Consider the following 18,334-nt stretch of genomic DNA (forward strand, 5'->3'; position numbering starts at 1 on the left):
GGCCTGGGCAACAGAGTGAGACTCTGCCTCAAAAAATAAGGTTGGGCGCGGTGGTTCACGCCTGTAATCCCAGCACTTTGGGAGGCCGAGGTGGGCAGATCATGAGGTCAGGAGATCAAGACCATTCTGGCTAACACGGTGAAACCCCGTCTCTACTAAAAATACAAAAAATTAGCCGGGCGTGGTGGCGGGTGCCTGTAGTGCCAGCTACTCGGGAGGCTGAGGCAGGAGAATGGTGTGGACCCCGGGGGGCGGAGCCTGCAGCGAGCCGAGATCGCACCACTGCACTCCAGCCTGGGCGACAGTGAGACTCCATCTCAAAAAATAAATAAATAAACAAATAAATATAAAAATAATAATAATAAAAAAAAAACGAAGCGGGGGTGGTGGGAACCTAACTTGAAGCCAGTCTGTCAGAAGTTCCGAGAGGCCTGGACTTGAGACTGGTAGGGGGCACCTTGGGGACAGAGCCCTCACCCTGTGGGATCTGATGTTATCTCTGGGTAGACAGTATCAGAACTAAATCAGAGGACACCCAGCTGGTGTCTGCTGCGTGGTCTTCTATGTTGATGACTGTTGTGGTGGAGGGTAGAGGAAATACACAGGTAAACCAAGTTTTTCCTAGGCAATAGGTTTTACCGATTTTTATTCTCTACCAAACAGAAAGCAAGCACTAAAAATATTTTTCAAGCAATCTATAGAGTGAAAAGAATTTGGGCACGGCCCAGCACGGTGGCTCACACCTGTAATCCCAACACTTTAGGAGGCTGAGGTGGGAGGATCATTTAAGCCCAGGAGCTTGAGACCAGCCTGGGCAACAAAGTGGGACCCTGGATCTATAAAAAACAATTAGCCAGGTGTGGTGGCACATGCCTGTGGTCCCAGATACTCGGGAGGCTGAGGCAGGAGGATCGCCCATGCCCAGGAAATTGCGCCACTGCACTCCAGCCTGGGTGATAGAGCAAGAAAGAAAAGAAAGGACTAGACATGTCCCCATTACCTGCCTGCGCTCCCGGCGGGTCAGGCTGTGGCCGTTGAGGATGCGCCAGAGCATGCGTGCCGCGATCTTGGTGTCGATCCATAGCAGGCGGAAGCCATGGTAGTAGTGCTTCAGCTCGTCCAGCACCCGCTGCCCCAGGGACTTCTTCACCACCACCTCTGCGGGGGGGCTGTACACCGGGCCGCCTTCCTCCAGCTTCTTGTTCTTGTCCTTCAAGGACTTGAGGGACTTCTCTACTACCGAGTCATCGCGAACAGGGCGCGAAGAGTGCCAGCCACGCACAGGAAGGCACTGAGGTCCCACAGCCACAAAACCCACAGAGGTAGAGGTCCATGGCGCTCTCGACACTATGCGAAGGCACTCGGGCCTCAGAGCCCAACAGCCGAGGTGATCGCCTCTGGAGGATGTGTACACAGGGTGGATGGGAGTGCAGCAGCCAAATGGAACATTCCTTGAAAAGGGAAGAGTGGAAAACAGTAGTAAGAGCCAGCACTAGCCTTTGACAGCTCAGCACCGAACACCAACAGCAGCAAAACCCACATGCCCCGTGCCATGCCATGTCACAACCACACACAATCCCACCTACTTCCTGACGTTTTGCACTGCCCGCTGGGGAGCCCTTCGGAAGGGAGGCCAGGACAGTGTGCAGCCCCCTCAGCCCCACACCACGTCGGACAGGAGCATGGGCGGGCGATCCCCACAGAAAGGCAGGCAAGTCAGACACAAACACAATCAGCAAAGGCTGGATCCCTGGGTGGGTCTCCCAGGCCCACTCCCAGAGACTTGGGGAGGTAGGGTGCATTGCTTTGGCACTTCGTGGGGGAATGGAGTGCAGAGCAGAGACTTTGTTGACTTTGGAGGTCCTCTCCTCCAACAAGTGACTTTCTGGAAAGATCCGTGGCTCTTGAACAAGTCCTGCAAATCAGTAAGGGTGCTCGCTGACCTCAGACCTCTACACTAGCTGCCCGCAGGCACCAGAGCAAAACAACAAAATCCAAAGAATAAGGGCCAAGGCCCATCTCCTCCTCCTCTACCCACCTGCCCACTCTGTCCGGCACCAGCAGGCTCCAAGCCCAGAGCCTCACACCTGCCCCCCCGCCTGGACATCCCTAGCTCATGCCCTTGCTTCACTCAGACCTCCCTGACCACTCCACCGCTCTTGCCTCTCATCCACAGTGCTGCCTCCTAGCGGGTGCCCTGCTGACATCTGGCCGTCTTAGAGACCAGGTGCACACTGTGTGCACCACATTTGCTTTCTCCCAACTGGAATGTAGGCCACCGAGGGCCAGAGAGCAGGCTCGAGGCCTCACAGGCAGCAGTGGGAGGCTGGCACTAACCCAGACCCATCTCGGTCCACGCTGCATCGGCCCCAGTTGCCGCCTGTGCCATATCCACCCACAGAAAGGCCTTGAGGAGGCCACTGCAGCCTAAGCTTCTGCAGCATAGACCATGCCTGGCCCAGAACCTATGGTTTGTGTGCAACACAGAGACCATCATCTGACCGCAGCGTGGTGCCACACCACCATTTACAGTCCAAAATTCAAACAGCTGACCTGCGCGAGGCCCATTCAGCCTCACGATCTCCTGCGTGTCTTGCCTGGCACACTAGAAACTCCCCTGCTGATTGGACACAAATCCCCCCGGGTGGCCCGAGCTCACCTAAAAGGCCATGTGTGTCGCATAACTTCACATCAGCTCCTCCTGCTTCCATCAGCTCTCTGTGCATGGCCTGACGCCAGCAGCAAGGCCCGAGCTCCGGAGCAGACTGTTAGAGCTCAAATTCCAGCTCCATTACTTACTGCTGCGTGACCTTAGACTGAGTAATTTAACCTCTCTGTGCTTTGGGAGCATTCCTCGTGAATTTGTGTGTTAACAGATACTAAGTACCAGGACGGTACCTGCAACATGGGAACACCCACCAACGACGTGGCTCTCGTGATTACCACCGCCTTGCAGCCTCGGAGAAGCCACCAATCAGGGCTGGAAGCCAGGCGGGGAACTCTCTGGACCCGCTGCTTGTTTCTCAGATGGGGATCCTCGGCTTGCAGCCCAGAGAGGGCAGTGCGGCTGGTGCAGGGCACTGTCAGCCCAGGGCAGCTTAGAGCGAGCACACACCAGGATCAGAAGCCAGAGCAGCAGGGGCTCCACTCTGCACCAGTAATGGTCTGGGGACCTCCCCCAAAAACTCTCCCAGGCTCAAAATCTTCCCTCAATTACAGACATGCAAACCCAACACTAACCTCACGGAGAGGTTCTCAAGAATACGGGAAATAGACACGTGGAAGGTGCCTGGTGGACACCAATGAGGCCTGGGAGGGGTGGGAAGGGGGACAGGCACCCCACCTCGGTCACCTCCCCAATCCCTGTGAGGGCAGCTTCAGACTCTCTCCAGGCGCTGGCCCAGCCCCAGCCACCATGTCTCTAGGTTCTCCTCAGCTCTGGGGTCACCTCTGAGCCAGGAAGGGGCCCCTGAATCCATGCAGTCTTGAGTCAAGGCGTGCCGAGAGCCGAGCCACACAGAATGCAGCAGAGCCCACGCAGGCTCAGACTGCCCCCTGGCCAGGCTGTGTTCCTTCTGTGAGGTGGGCTCACCTCCCTGTGTGGGTGATGACAGTGCCCACACATGGGAATACACCTCCTCCCTGCATCAAGCTGAATTACACAACTCCACAACCCTCAGTTAGCAAGGACGATGGTGGCTTCCACAAGAAGGCATGATGCCAGCAGTCACGGGGTGTCGACAGGCAAAGACGAAGACTCGGAAAAACAGACCAGGCAGAGAAGCACACGATGGACTCAGTGAAGGCAGGGAGCCATCCAGAGTTGGGCACACCTGCAGGGGCCTGGTCCTCACCACAGTAACATCCCCCGGCAAATCCCATCAGCATTCACGCTAAGTACAGATTTAGAAATAAAAATAGCCTCACATCAGCTGAGGTTTCCCCACTGAGTGAGATTCAAGTTTGCTGGGTCTCACAACTGCTGTCTTACAGTTTGCTTACCCAAAGTCTGGGTGCTGCTTCTCTGCCTTTGTTTCTATGAGAAAGAAGGCTGGAAGCTGCTACATAATGTCCACGATGTTCTCTTGGATCGAAAATACTCCAGCAGGGCGCAGTGGCTCACATCTGTAATCCCAGAGCTTTGGGAGGCCAACGTGGGTGGATCACTTGAGGCTGGGAGTTCAAGACCAGCTTGGCCAACATAGTGAAACCCTGTCTCTACTAAAACTACAAAAATTAGCAGGCGTGGTGGCACACACCTGTAATCTCAGTTACTTGGAGGGCTGAGGCGTGAGAACTGCTTGAAGCCGGGAGGTGGAGGCTGCAGGGAGGCAGAGGCTACAGTGAGCCGAGATTGTGCCACTGCACTCCAGCCTAGGTGACAGAGTGAGACTGTCTTAAAAAAAAAAATGCTCTATCAGCTGGGCACCATGGCTCACACCTGTAATCCCAGCACTGCACGAGGCCAAGGCAGGAGCGCTGCTCAAGTCCAGGAGTTCGAACCCAGCCTGGGCAACATAGTGAGACCCTGTCTCTACAGAAAAAAAAAAAAAAAAAAAAAAAGGCCAGGCACAGTGGCTCACGCCTGTAATCCTAGCACTTTGAGAGGCCGAGGCGGGCAGATCACGAGGTCAGGAGTTTGAGACCAGCCTGGCCAATATGGTGAAACCCCGTCTTTACTAAAAGTACAAAAATTAGCTGGGCATGGTGGCACACGCCTATCATCTCAGCTACTCGGGAGGCTGAGGCAGGAGAATTGCTTGAACTTGGGAGGCGGAGGTTGCAGTGAGCTGAGATTGTGCCACTACACCCCAGCCTGGGCGATAGAGTGAGACTCTGTCCCCCGCACCCCCCGAAAAAAATGATCCACCTACTCACCCTCAGAGATCTGGGCCATTTCATCTGAGGATTACCTGCATCTGTAAAATAACTGTTTACAAAAACTAATGTAAATGGTTACCATTTATAGCTACTTATCTGGTGACTACAAGGCTCACACCTGTAATCCCAGCACTTTGGGAGGCCGAGGTAGGTGGATCACCTGAGGTCAGGAGTTCGAGATGAGCCTGGCCAATGTGGTGAAAACTTTGTATTTTTGTACTAAAAATGCAAAGGTGTTTATATTGTGTGACCAAATAAAAAGTAAAATTTTTTGGCTGCTGAAACATTACCACCATCCATAATTCTTTTTTCTTTTTTTTTTCTTTTTTTTTTTTTTCGAGACACAGTTTTGCTCTGTCATCCAGGCTGGAGTGCAGTGGCACAATCTGGGCTCACTGCAACCTCCACCTTCCAGGTTCACGAAGTTCTCCTGCCTCAGCCACCAAGTAGCTGGGATTATAGGCATGTGCCACCACGCCCAGGTAATTTTTGTATTTTTAGTAGAGATGAAGTTTCGCCATGTTGGCCAGGCTGGTCTTGAACTCCTAACCTCAAGTGATCTGCCCGCCTCGGATTACAGGCATGAGATTACAGGCATGAGCCGCTGCACCTTGCCTCATCCATAATTATTATATTATTATTTTTTTTGAGACAGACTCTCCCTCAGTTGCCCAGGCTGGAGTGCAGCGGTGTGATCCTGGCTCACGGCAACCTCCACCTCCTGGGTTCAAGGGATTCTCCTGCCTCAGCCTCCCAAGTACCTGGGACTACAGGCGCGCACCATCACACCCAGTTATTTTTGTATTTTTAGTAGAGATGGGGTTTCACCATGTTGGCCAGGCTGGTCTTGAACTTCTGGCCTCAAGTGATCTGCCCACCTCAACTTTCCAAAGTGCTGGGATTAGAGACGTGAGCCACTGCGCCCGGCCTCATCCATAATTCTTGATAAGTAGACAAGTCCATCAAAACAGCTGTACAGTCCTCATTGTTTAAATTTTTAAGTAGATGTTCAAAATTGGGAACTTTAAAAAAAGTTACGTGAATAAAGTACAGCTTTTATGTTTTGTTGTTAGCCCAGGCTGGAGTACAGTGGCGCCATCTTGGCTCACTGCAACTGCCACCTCCCGGGTCCCGGTTCAAGCAATTCTCCTGCCTCAGCCTCCTGAGTAGCTGGGATTACAAGAACATACCACCATGCCCAGCTGATTTTTGTATTTTTATTAGAGATGGGGTTTCACCATGTTGGCTAGGCTGGTCTTGAACTCTTGACCTCGTGATCTTCCCGACTCAGCCTCCAAAAGTGTTGGGATTACAGGTGTGAGCCACCGTGCCCGGCCAGCATTTATGTTTTAGTATGAAATTTAAATGCTAAAAAGTTGCTTGACAAATTCAACATCCATTCCTAATAAAAAGAGTAACAGACAGAACAAAGATTACTTAAACCCAAAAGCTAACATCATATGTCACAAACACTAGATCCTGTATTTTCTGCTATTGTGATACCGCATGACTGACTACAGCTGTTCTGACACAGATCTGGCTACTGAGCTAAGAAATGAAACCACCTCAGAAGCAGAAGCCCTGGGAAAGAAGAGGCAGATGATTACTATGTACTAAGATCACAGCCATAAACTAAACCTGGGCTGCTACAAGAGCTGAACAAATAACAGGAAAGGGGCCAGATACAAGAAAATTGTACAACTTAGCAACTTACGGGACAGCAATGATCACTTAGAAAAGATAATGAAAAGAATTAATGAAAATAATAAACATCTGGGAATTATCTAAAATGCAATGCATGTGGCCTATACAAAGAAAACAGGCCGGGTGCAGTGGCTCACACCTGTAATCCCAGCACTTTGGGAGGCCAAAGGCAGGAGGACTGCTTGAGTCCAGGAGTTCAAGAGCAGCCTGGACAACATAGTGAGAACCTGTCTCTACAAAAAATACCAAAAAGAAAAAAATTTAGCAAGGCATGTTGGTAATGCCTGTAGTCCCAGCTACTCAGGAGGCTAAGGTGGGAGAATGGCTTGAGCCTGGGAGATCAAAGCTGCAGTGAGCCATGATTGCACCACTGCACTCTAGCCTGGGCAATGAACAGAATGAGATCCTGTCTCAAAAAAAAAAAAAAAAGTAATATTCCTTCCCAACTGGTTTAATGACACTTCAGATACAATCCCAAAAAGACTGTTTTAGAAGTAAAATGGTTCAGCTCATCTAGAAGGAAGGTCCAGACTGACGAGGTTTGGGGGAACTGGTCCCCAGGGAGGAACAACTGCTGGAGAACTCACTAAAGAAAATAACGGGAGCAGCTAGGCGCAGTGGCTCACACCTGTAATCCCAGCACTTTGGGAGGCCGAGGTAGGTGGATCATCTGAGGTCAGGAGTTTGAGATGAGCCTGGCTAATGTGGTGAAAATTTTGTACTTTTGTACTAAAAATGCAAAAATTAGCTGGGTGTGGTGGCGGCGTCTCTAATCCCAGCTACTAGGGAGGCTGAGGCAGGAGAATCGCTTGAACCCGGGAGGCAGAGGTTGCAGTGAGCCGAGATTGCACCACTGCACTCTAGCCTAGGTGACAAGAACAAAACTCGGTCTCAAAAAAAAAAAAAAAAAAAAAAAATTAGCTGGGTGTGGTGTGCGCGCCTGTAATCCCAGCTACTTGGGAGGCTGAGGCAGATAACTGCTTGAACCCGGGAGGTGGAGATTGCAGTGGGCAGAGATCACGCCACTGCATTCCAGCTTGGTGACAGCGCGAGACTCTGTCTCAAAAAAAATAAAAATAAAAAAAAAAAAGAAAATGCAACCTTAAGGAAAAAGACATAAGAAAACCAATTTCTTTTCTCATCCAAAGTTATAATAAAACGTTATTCGTGGACCTTAAAGTTGCAGTTTCTGCCAGGCATGGTGGCTCACACCTATAATCCCAGCACTTTGGGAGGCTAAGGCAGGCAGATCACGGGAGGTCAGGAGTTCAAGACCAGCCTGGCCAACATGGTGAAACCCCGTCTCTAATAAAAATACAAAAATTAGCCAGGTGCGGCCGGACGCGGTGGCTCATGCCTGTAATCCCAGCACTTTGGGAGGCCATGGCGGGCGGATCACGAGGTCAGGAGATTGAGACCATCCTGGCTAACACGGTGAAACCCCATCTCTACTAAAAATACAAAAAATTAGCCGGGCGTGGTGGCGGGCGCCTGTAGTTCCAGCTACTTGGGAGGCTGAGGCAGGAGGATGGCATGAACCCGGGAGGTGGATCTTGCAGTGAGCTGATATTGCGCCACTGCACTCCAGCCTGGGTGACAGAGCGAGACTCCGTCTCAAAAAAAAAAAAAAAAAAATTAGCCAGGCGCAGTGAGGCATGCCTGCAATCCCAGCTACTCGGGAGGTTGAAGCAGGAGAATCACTTGAACCTGGGAGGCGGAGGTTGCAGTGAGCCAAGCATGTGCCACTGCACTCCAGTCTGGGTGACAGAGCAAGGCTCTGTCTCAAAAAAAAAAAAAAAAAAAAAGAAAAAAAAAAAGTCGCAGTTTCCAAGAACCTACAGACATTAAATGAGACTTGCTGTACATCAAAATACTGACACTGGGCACTTTGAGGGCACAGTTGCCAGTGCCCACTCCAACTGGGAGTCCAACAATTAAATTCCATTTAATTCCTGTTAGGGGACAGGAAGCCTTCTGTCCCCAGCTCTCCAAGTGCAACTGGGCACTGAGGTTAGGAATGTTTCTATACTGTCTATAGATTCACTGAGGCATGTGACAATCATTTTCAAAATGGAAAGATAAAGGTTTAAAAGAAACAAAGAACAGGAAAGTAGGATACACTGTTTCCCTCAAAAATCAAGAGTCACTCGTGACTCTCCACCATTTTCAAACCCTGTTTTCAAACAGACAGGTGCAGAGTGATACTGATTTACTCACAGGCAGTTCCTCAACCCCAGGGTGCTGGCACAGCTGAGATGAGCAGGATCCCCTGGACTACCTGTAACAGGAACAGGGGAAAATAAATGAGTAGTAAATCAGGGATTTATACTGATACCTTTTTTTGTTGTTGGTTTTTGGAGTTTCGCTCTTGCGCCCAGGCTAGAGTGCAATGGCGTGATCTCGGCTCACTGCAACCTCCACCTCCTGGGTTTAATTGATTCTCCTGCCTCAGCCTCCTGAGTAGCTGGAATTACAGGTGCCCACCACCATGCCCAGCTAATTTTTTTTTTTTAGTAGAGACAGGGTTTCATTCACCATGTTGGCCAGGCTGGTCTCAAACTGCCGACCTCAGGTGATCCGCCCGCCTTGGCCTCCCAAAGTGCTGGGATTACAGGCATGAGCCACCGTGCTCAGCCTTTTGTTCATTTTGATTTATTTGACTTTGCCCAGGCTGGAATGCAGTGGTACAGTCACGGCTCCCTGCAGCCTTGAACTCCTGGGCTCAAGGGATCCTTTTGCCTCAGCCTCCCAAGTAGCTGGGACTACAGGTGTGCACCATCAGGCCAGGCTAATTTTTGTAAAGACGGGGTTTCGTTTTGTTGCCTAGGCTGGTCTCCAACTTTTGGCCTCGAGCGACCCTCCTGCATTGGTCTCCCAAAGTGTTGGGATTACAGGCGTGAGCCACCACTCCCAGCCTGAAACCTTCTTTTAAGTCTGAAAGAAGGCGGGGCGCCGTGGCTCACGCCTGTAATCCCAGCACTTTGGGAGGCAAAGGCGAGTGGATCACCTGAGGCCAGGAGTTCAAGACCAGCTTGACCAGCGGTGAAACCTCATCCCTACTAAAAATACAAAATTAGCCGGGTATGGTGGCACATGCTTGTAAACCCAGCTACTTGGGAGGCTGAGTCAGGAGAATAGCTTGAACCTGGGAGGCAAAGGTTGCAGTGAGCTGAGATCGCACCATTGCACTCCAGCCTGGGCAACAAGAGTGAAACTCCGTCTCAAAAAGAAAAAAAAAATCTGAAAGAGTACAGATCTCTTTTGTAGAAACCTCTGTAAGTTTCTGGAAGCCAGTTCTGAGTGTTGGAAGGTTTCAGAGCACTGCTAAGTGAAGGGTCTGCCCCAGTTATGAAAACAGTATCTCAAAGTAGTCCTAAAAAAAGATGGGAAGCCTCAAGTAGATCCTGACTCCAGACACCCCAAGAGGGAAGCCAAGCAGGCCAGCCCTAGGGAGGGAGCACTCCTACCGGTGGCACCATCCCCACTCACTTCAGCTGGCTCTGGTGGAAACATGACCTCTATGCAGACAGCCCTATAGAGCAAGCAATGATCCCAAGGGGCAAGAGCTGTAAGAATTACTACAACCGGACCGGGCGCAGTGGCTCACGCCTGTAATCCCAGCACAGACGTGAACCCGGGAGGCGGAGCTTGCAGTGAGCTGAGATCGCACCACTGAACTGCAGCCTGGGCGACAGAGCAAGACTCTGTCTCAGAAAAAAAAAAAAAAAAAAAAAGAATTACTAGAACCACAGGCCGGGCATGGTGGCTCACGCCTGTAATCCCAGCACTTTGGGAGGCTGAGGCGGGTGGATCACCTGAGGTCAGGAGTTCAAGACCAGCCTGGCCCACATGGTGAAACCCCATCTCCACAAAAATAAAAAAAAATTAGCCGGACATGATGGCAGGTGCCTGTAATCCCAGCTACTCGGGAGGCTGAGGCAGGATAATCACCTGAACCCTCCGGGAGGCAGAGGTTGCAGTGAGCTGAGATCGCGCCATTGCACTCAAAAAAAAAAAAAAAAAGAGAAGAACCACAAAAACACCAAGAGTAAGCCATTTCTTGTATAAACAACAGTGATAAGTGTACAGCACATTTTTAGGATTTCAACATGTTTTTGATGCTTTCCCTAACTTGCTCTAGTTCCTATAAGCATAAAGTCAGAGTTCATTCGTATTACTGACATTCAGAGCCCATTGTGATCAAACTTCATGCTGGGAACAAGACAGGAATAGGAGCAGCAGGGCCAGAGGCACCAGCCCACGGAGGTGCCAGGCCAGGCTGTGCAGAGGCTAGGCGGTGCCGGGAGCCAGCAGGTAGCACCCTGAGATGCCCAGTGACCTTGAACCTCCAAGCAGTGGGGTTGCAATGAGTCAACAGCCAGGGAGCAGCAAGTGCAGCTTTAAGATGGGGGGAGCTCACTCCAGCCGGCAACGAGAGCCACCGTGAGAGGACGAACAAGATGGGGAGGGCAGGCACTGACCCTGCTCCTAGTGGACCGATACGTCACTTCACCTCATTTAACAGGAGGCAACTCTCCTGGTTCTGTGGGGAAGGAAATTCCTACTACGTGCCACATTTAGGGCTTGTAACAGTCCGGTCTGTGAACTGGGAGCTGGGTTAAGGGGAAAATGTTGGCTATGTTCTCATACACAGCAAGTTACATTTTAAGTTAAAATTCAAAGCACAGCACACGTGAGCATGCCAAGGCCCTTCTCACTCCAGCTGAGACTAGCTTTGGCCCCCACCTTTCTCCACATGAAGAGGGCCCAGCGCATTCTCCGCTATCCTCCCCACACCATGGCACCTTCAGCCCCTCCACCCCTGCCCCGGCCAGCTCCTGTGCCTCAAGGGCTCCGCCCGGCAAGCAGGCAGGCTGGCAGGTCTCCCAGAGTTCCCTGATCTGTCCCCCAGTGACCCTACCTTCTCTCTAACACTGCCTGTCCCACTGGCTCCCTTACTAGGCTCTCCCCAAAACCTGTTCTGACGGCTTCTGTCCCCAGCTCTCCAAGGAACCCCCAGTCAAGGCCGTTCGGGGTGATGGGGATCATTGCTCCACGTCCCTCACGAGCACAGGTGTCATCTGTGCCCAGGCCCTGCTGGGAGCCCTTCTGTTCTTTTTTCCAACACCAACGAATTCTCCAACTGGGAGTCCAACAATTTAATTCCATACTGACACTACCCAGAGTTAGTGCAGACCTCACAGGGTACGGGCTCAGTCCCACAAGACTGCCCCCACTCCATGTGCCCAGGCTTACCCAACTTCAGCTGACCACACATTTGAGGGTTCCCATGACCGCCTTGGTTTTGATCATTCACAAGAATGACTCAGATGTCAGCAATGGGCTCTACTTACTGTCACAGTTTATTATAAAGGGTACCTGGTACCTAGGAACAACCAGACAGCATGGCCAGGGAGGTCCCGAGCACAGGATCCTTTGTCCTGTGGAGCTAGGTGGACGCCAGTGGGAAGCCTCACCAGCCTCCTCACCCAGAAGTTCTCATCAAGGCTTCATGACTGATTACAGTATTGGCCCACTGGCCATGGGGACTGAACTAAATCTCCAAACCCTCTCGCCTCCCTGGAAGGGGCAGGAAGTTCCCACCCTCTAATCACAGCATGGCCAGCACCTCAATCTATCTAAGGGCCTGCCTGGAGTCACCTCATCAGCATAAACTCAGGTGCAGTGATAACGAATAACAGAAGACACTCCCAAACTCACGCCTGTAATCCTAGCACTTTGGGAGGCCAAGGCAGGTGGATCGCTGTTGAGCTCAGGAGTTAAGCCTGAGCAACAGAGACCCTGTCTACAAAAATGTTAAAACATCAGCTGGCAGGAGGATCGCTTGGAGGCTGTGGTGAGCCATGATCAAGCTACTGCACTCCAGCCTGGGTGACAGAGCAAGACCCTGTCTCAAAATACAAACAAATGAAAAAAGACACTCCCATCATTCAGGAAACTTCCAGGGTTCTCAGCCCTCAGTGCTGGTGCCAGGATCAGGTCAAAGAACAAACAAACCTTTCTTCACCTGGCTTCACCCTTGCCACTCCTGGGAGAGCCTCCCTACCTGACCTCCACCTCCTCCCCAGGCAATCTCTTCCCTGACTTGAATACACACGCCCCACAGGTCTGATGGGCACGGCACAGTCCACACCTCCAAGAACTCTCAACTAGCGCCCCTCCTCATTCTGCTCCTCCCCAAGTCCTCCCCAGTTTCAACAAATGGCACTGTTGTCCCCAGGCGGCTCAGGCCAGAGGCCACCTCTCCCACACAGCCCTCACTGTTGTCCCCAGGCGGCTCAGGCCAGAGGCCCCCTCTCCCACACAGCCCTTGGAGTCAGCCCTGCTTCTGCTCGTAAAGCGACTTCCTCCCAAAAAGGACAAATGGGGAGGTGGGACAAGAGTAACTGGGCAGTGAAAAACCTGACAAACACCACTTCAGCCTACTGATCAAGGTCAACATCAACAGTGACAAATCATTTGGACAGCATGGAGCCTCGGCGGGATATGATAAGGATGCTTCACCTCTGTGGTCTTCCTCCTGAAAAACCATCTTTCCCAGCTTAATTATGAGGAAACATCAAGAAATACCAGTAGAGCAGCACCCTACACTCCACCTGGGCAGTACTCCTCAAAGCTGTCAAGGTCACTGCAGACAAGGAAAGCCTGAGAGGCAATCAAGAAGGGTGGTACAGATGGGTCCTGGGACAGAAAAAGGACCTCAGAATGGAGAACGGGAGAGTAAAGAAAATCTGAATATGTTATGGACTTTAGTGAACAGTAACAGATCAAGGTCAGTTCATTAACTGTGACAACGAACCCTACTCATCTAAGATGTTAATAGCAGGGGCCTGCAGCACTCCACTCGGTGTATCACTCATCAGTTCAGGGACCTCCTCCACAGTCCAGCCCTGGGTCTCGCTGGCTCTGAAATCCCTACTGTTTCTACAGCAGACCTGCCAGTGTCCCTGTCACAAAGCACAGTAGTAACTACAGAAGACATTTGTGTTCCTGAAATGACAGAATCGCACATAAAAAGCTAATTATTATTATTATTTATCAAAAATCTGATAATAAGCACGAAGTGTTAAAAGTACTTTTATCACCATCAAGAGGTCCAGAGAGAGCTCTAACATCTAACACAGCAACTGGAAAGACCACATGCTGAGCTCCACCTTCAGACTGTGCAGTTCCACCACTCAACATCCTCTCACCACTCCAAAAGTTTCAGTGGCTAACCAGCCATTATTGTAAAAATTACAAGAATTGGCCAGGCGAGGTGGCTCACGCCTGTAATCCCAGCACTTTGGGAGGCTGAGGTGGGTGGATCACGAGGTCAGGAGTTCAAGACCGGCCTGACCAACATGGTGAAACCCCATCTCTACTAAAAATACAAAAATTAGCCAGGCATGAGGGTGTGCGCCTGTAATCCCAGCTACTCAGGAGGCTGAGGCAGGAGAATCGCTTGAACCTGGAAGGCAGAGGTTGCAGTGAGCCGAGATCATGCCACTGCACTCCAGCCTGGATGACAGAGCGAGACTCCATTTCAAAAAAAAAAAAAAAAAATTACAAGAATTGGGGGCCGGGCGCGGTGGCTCACGCCTGTAATCCCAGCACTTTGGGAGGCCGAGGTGGGTGGATCACCTGAGGTCAGGAGTTCGAGACCCGCCTGGCCAAGACGGAGAAAACAGTCTCTACTAAAAATACAAAAATTAGCCAGTCGTGATGGCGGGTGCCTATAATTCCAGCAACTCGGCAGGCTGAGGTAAGAGAATCACTTGAACCCAGGAGGTGGAGGTTGCAGTGAGCCAAGATCACACCACTGCACTCTAGCCTGAGCAACAGATTGAGACTCTGTCTTTAAAAACAAACAAACAAACAAACAAAAAAAAACAAGAATTGGGAGGATACATTCAGGGCAACTTCAATCTATCTCTTTGGGGGTGGGGAACAGAGACAAGAATATTGAAGCTGGGTGCCTGGGCATGGTGGCTCCTGTAATCCCAGCACTTTGGGAGGCCAAAGCAGGAGGATCAGTTGAGCCTTGGAGTTCAAGACCAGGCTGGGCAACATACCAAGACCCTGTCTCTACAAAAAAACTACAAAAAAAAAAATTAGCTGGGTGTTGTGTGGCACAACTAACAACTTGGGAGGCTGAGGCAGAAGGATAGCTTGAGCCCAGGAGTTTGAGGTGCAGTGAGTATGATCGCACCACTGCACTAATTATTTTACTTGAGTCCCTCTTAGCAAGTTTTATGTTTATTCCAATTTTACAAATAAGGACATAGACTCAAATAAGTTGGTTAATTAGAGAGAGAGAGGAGGTGGGCACACCCTGGGACAGCATTCACTCCAGACAGCACCTGAGGCTAGGGGGGCTAAAGCCACGCACCCTGAGGACCCTCAGCGGCTCCGGAGTCCCCGTGTTCCCCGGGTGCCGGTCGCGGCCTAATCACACCACAGGGGTTTGTAGGTGCTGGCATCACCTCATCAGTGACGGACCAGGAAGGCTCCTGCAGCCCAGCAGGTCCTGCTCGCCGGTGTCTGCCCTGCCCACCCAGTCTCGTCTCCGGGACCCCAAACGTGACCAAAGGGCACGGCCGTCCTCGTGCGTGGACACGTTCCACCAAGCTTACTCGCGCAGGGCGCGCCAGGGCTGCCCAGCCCTTCAGAATTTTCCCACTGTCTCTGAGGCAGTGACCCGGGGGACCCGGCCGCCTAAGGTCACAACACACGGCAGAGGCCCAGCGGCTCCGCCCGGCGCTGGCGGCCCAGCCCGCGACGAGACCCGGGGCCCCACGGTCCCGCAGGGGCTCCGGAGGCCGGGACCACCGGGCTCCCCGCATCGCCGTGACAACCAGCCCGAACCCGCGGGTCGTCCGCGCTCCCGACCCACCAGCCGGGAGCCGGCCCCGCCCTGGGGTGCCCGCCGCTTACCCCGCGGGACGGTGTACCGAGGCGGCGGCGGGAGGCGGGCGGGCGCCCGGCCGCGGCAGCTCCTCAGTAAGATGGACGCCATGTGCTCGGGCGCGGCGGCCGCTCCGGCCTCCTGCGCTGCCTCCTTCTCCGCGGCGGCCGCGGCTCTTCGCCGTCCCGGCGGCGCTTCAGACCCGGCCCGCGCGGACGGCTGACAGAGGCGGCTGGCCTCGGACGGGAGGCGCTCTCCTCAAGGACCCGGCACCAGCGGCGGCCTTGTCCCGGCACAGACGTCCGGAGGCGCGGGGCGGGGCGGCCAGGCCGCGGCTCCCATTGGGCCCCTCAGCGCCCGCCGCTGGCCAGGTGAGGGGCGGACCGCGCCACCGCGGACTACCGGTTCCGGCGTGCACCGGGACGGCCTGCACGCTGGGGTGCGGACTACCGATCCCGGCGTGCACCGGAGCGGCGGACTACCCTGAGGCGCGGACTACCGGTCCCGGCGTGCACCGGGGCGGCTGGCTCCTGGGGCTCGCTGCATCCTGGTTCCCGTCGTACCGTGGACGCCGGGGCTCGCAGCGTGGCGGCCGCAGGAGCTGAGGGAGTCGGCCGCGCTTGCGCGGGGAGTGTCTTTTCGTCTCCGGGCGGCGGCAGCAGCGCGTGTGTCCGGAACTTTTCTGGGACTAAGTCCTGCACCCACGAGTAGAAAACGGCTCCTGGGAGCTTGGGGCTCCAAGGGCAAGTCAGGGGACGCTGGGGATGGAGGGGCGCCCTCGACGCCCTCGGCCGCGGTCCCTCGCCGGCCCCCCTGCTCTGTGGCTCTGCCCTCGGCGGTCTGCACTCTGGCGCGCGCAGCTCTGAGTGCCTCTTCCCTGCGTACCGGGCGGCGCTCCCCAGATACGGCGCTGCTCGGCGTCGGGAGTCCCCGTCACCACTGGGGGGACGGGAGCGCAGGGTCCCGCCCCGAAGGACAGGGCCATGCCGGCCCCTGGAGGCGAGGGCACTAGGCCGGGTGGCGGCGCAGCCAGCATAGCGGCCCCCCATCCCGGCACACCGCGTCCTCCCGTCTGAGCGGGAGGGGTAGATATGGGTCCTGCGTTGGCGCGGGGGGACCCCTCGTTTCGCTCTGGCCTAAGCAGCCCCTGGGGTCCCGCGCGCCGCAAGAGCGCCAGACTTCCTAACCTGGGCCATACCCTGTCCGCTCCACTTCCCAGTCCAAGAAGGAACAGCCGAAGCCCAGGACGCCAAGGACCTGGCTCGAAGTCTCCAGAATTCCCGCCAGAGCTGGGCTGGGCTCGCGGACCGCTCATGCGCCGTCTCCCAGGAGCCTCCCCCCAGCCCAGTTTAATAGCCGGCCCTGACCAGTCCAGGGGAGAGAGACCGTGCAGCCTCCCAGCAGACCGTGACCTCTGAGCTCCACCTTCCCCTTCCTTCCCTAAGATGAGGATCCCTGAGTTGGGGCAGAGAAAGCAGGCAGGGAGAAAAATGGGGACCTGCGGCGCTGGGGGCCCAGCTGGTGGAGATCTCCAGCTAGGAGATCCCCAGCACAGCACTTGCCCTGCCCTCTGTCTTGTTCAGGGATGTAACCTGCCTCCTCCTGCTTCTCCGCGGCACCTCAGGGCACCGCCTGGGGAGGGTCTTGTAGTGCACACTCAGCATCTCTGTTCCCTGGAGCGCATGGGGTGTGAAACGCCTGATGCCAGCCAGCTCCCCAGTCTTGAGAGGCTGGTTGAATGGCACATCTCCCTAGGAGGCTCCCTCCCCAGGGTCCCCTCTGCCCCTGCTGTCCATGCAGTCGGTCCTCACCCGTCAGGAAAACGTAGCCTGCTTGCCTGGGTGGTTTTCCCCATCAGGAACTGCCAGGTACTGGGCCTGGATGGGCTTGAATTCCCCATCTCAGTGGGAGAAGGGGGCATTGTTTAGTGCAGGGCACTTTGAAGCCGTCTGTAAGTCCCTGTGTCCACACCGGTCAGTGGGCACTGCAGACATCAAATGCAGACAGAGTTTAAGCACAACTAGGCCTGAACCTAGGCCTGTGCTGCCAACAGACATGAAGGGGCCCCTTTTCCACCCATCCCCCAGGAGGCAAGAGGGGGATACAGAAGGATAGTCCTTGCCTCCCCACCCAGGGTTGGACCTGAGCTGGAGTGGACAGTTGGTCAGGGTCAGAAAGAACTGGACTTTTTATGGCCCAGCTGTAGGACTTTTTATGGCTCAGCTGTAGGACTTTTTATGGCCCAGCTGTAGGACTGTATGTCCTAGTCCTGGTCTGGACATTGGTTCTGAGCACCAGATGACCCTGCCCGATGCTGGCTAGGGAGGGTGACCCCGGAGAGGGTGCAAGAAACAGTGCTCCTCTCGTTAATGCTGTGGGGTCCCAGGTGTCCCGGCAAGGCCAGGCAGGAGGTGGTGACTGCCCCATCTGTGCTAGTGCCTGTTTACAGGACTTTGAATGACACTGAAAGAGGAGGGAAGCCCTCCCCGCAGTCTCCACCCTGCCCAAAGTGCTGGGTGTGAGGAAATGTGGAACATACCCTCGCCTGCAGTTGGGATGACCCACCATCCCTGGACCAGAACAAGGAAAGCCTGGCAGCGGAGAGCCAACAGCAGGACTGACACAGGCAGGTGCTGTCTGCGATGCTCGTGCAGCCCAGGCAGGGTGGGATCTTAGATAAATTTTCAACAATTAAAATAGCTGTGATCAGGCGCAGTAACTCACACCTGTAATCCCAGCACTTTGGGAGGCCGAGGCGGGCTGATCACGGGGTCAGGAGATCGAGACCAGCTTGGCCAACATGGTGAAACCCTGTCTACTAAAAATACAAAAATTAGCTGG

General features: G+C 53.8%; 1 protein-coding gene across 3 annotated transcripts in view, besides 9 other annotated features; it reads right to left on the reverse strand.

The window, feature by feature from the left end:
* LETM1 (leucine zipper and EF-hand containing transmembrane protein 1) overlaps positions 1–15,810 on the reverse strand; it is a 44,678-nt gene extending 28,868 nt beyond the window's left edge. For 2 of the 3 annotated variants that reach the window (XM_006713884.2, NM_012318.3), the window contains exons 1-3: positions 15,523–15,810; positions 8,803–8,863; positions 1,001–1,451 (exon numbers count right to left, since the gene is read on the reverse strand). In XM_006713884.2, the coding sequence (XP_006713947.1) occupies positions 1,001–1,451; positions 8,803–8,863; positions 15,523–15,604 (594 nt within the window). In that variant the 5' untranslated portion in view covers positions 15,605–15,810. Of the gene's footprint in view, positions 1–1,000; positions 3,894–4,002; positions 4,565–8,802; positions 8,864–15,522 lie in introns of those variants that run through there. The other variant, XM_047415673.1, reaches the window with a different exon arrangement.
* Positions 2,262–2,512: a silencer, noted in NCBI's record as "fragment chr4:1844335-1844585 (GRCh37/hg19 assembly coordinates)". NCBI's record gives its function as "represses an EF-1alpha promoter that drives an FKBP-Casp9 reporter gene in an ReSE screen in phorbol 12-myristate 13-acetate-treated (for megakaryocytic differentiation) K562 erythroleukemia cells {active_cell/tissue: K562(+PMA)}" and the evidence as "EXISTENCE:reporter gene assay evidence [ECO:0000049][PMID:32094911]".
* Positions 14,276–14,452: a silencer, noted in NCBI's record as "fragment chr4:1856349-1856525 (GRCh37/hg19 assembly coordinates)". NCBI's record gives its function as "represses an EF-1alpha promoter that drives an FKBP-Casp9 reporter gene in an ReSE screen in K562 erythroleukemia cells {active_cell/tissue: K562}" and the evidence as "EXISTENCE:reporter gene assay evidence [ECO:0000049][PMID:32094911]".
* Positions 15,018–15,519: an enhancer, noted in NCBI's record as "H3K27ac hESC enhancer chr4:1857091-1857592 (GRCh37/hg19 assembly coordinates)". NCBI's record gives its function as "activates a minimal SCP1, AML or CMV promoter by ChIP-STARR-seq in naive H9 embryonic stem cells {active_cell/tissue: H9 hESC(naive)}" and the evidence as "EXISTENCE:reporter gene assay evidence [ECO:0000049][PMID:30033119]".
* Positions 15,018–16,006: a biological region, named in NCBI's record as "H3K27ac hESC enhancer GRCh37_chr4:1857091-1857592".
* Positions 15,247–15,436: a silencer, noted in NCBI's record as "silent region_15146". NCBI's record gives its function as "represses an Ori minimal core promoter by ATAC-STARR-seq in GM12878 lymphoblastoid cells {active_cell/tissue: GM12878}" and the evidence as "EXISTENCE:reporter gene assay evidence [ECO:0000049][PMID:35858748]".
* Positions 15,447–16,006: a silencer, noted in NCBI's record as "silent region_15147". NCBI's record gives its function as "represses an Ori minimal core promoter by ATAC-STARR-seq in GM12878 lymphoblastoid cells {active_cell/tissue: GM12878}" and the evidence as "EXISTENCE:reporter gene assay evidence [ECO:0000049][PMID:35858748]".
* Positions 16,157–16,226: an enhancer, noted in NCBI's record as "active region_21161". NCBI's record gives its function as "activates an Ori minimal core promoter by ATAC-STARR-seq in GM12878 lymphoblastoid cells {active_cell/tissue: GM12878}" and the evidence as "EXISTENCE:reporter gene assay evidence [ECO:0000049][PMID:35858748]".
* Positions 16,407–16,626: a silencer, noted in NCBI's record as "silent region_15148". NCBI's record gives its function as "represses an Ori minimal core promoter by ATAC-STARR-seq in GM12878 lymphoblastoid cells {active_cell/tissue: GM12878}" and the evidence as "EXISTENCE:reporter gene assay evidence [ECO:0000049][PMID:35858748]".
* Positions 16,896–17,691: an enhancer, noted in NCBI's record as "H3K4me1 hESC enhancer chr4:1858969-1859764 (GRCh37/hg19 assembly coordinates)". NCBI's record gives its function as "activates a minimal SCP1, AML or CMV promoter by ChIP-STARR-seq in primed H9 embryonic stem cells {active_cell/tissue: H9 hESC(primed)}" and the evidence as "EXISTENCE:reporter gene assay evidence [ECO:0000049][PMID:30033119]".

The sequence above is a fragment of the Homo sapiens genome, chromosome 4, assembly GCF_000001405.40.
Source record: "Homo sapiens chromosome 4, GRCh38.p14 Primary Assembly".
In the NCBI taxonomy this organism is placed as follows: domain Eukaryota; kingdom Metazoa; phylum Chordata; class Mammalia; order Primates; family Hominidae; genus Homo; species Homo sapiens.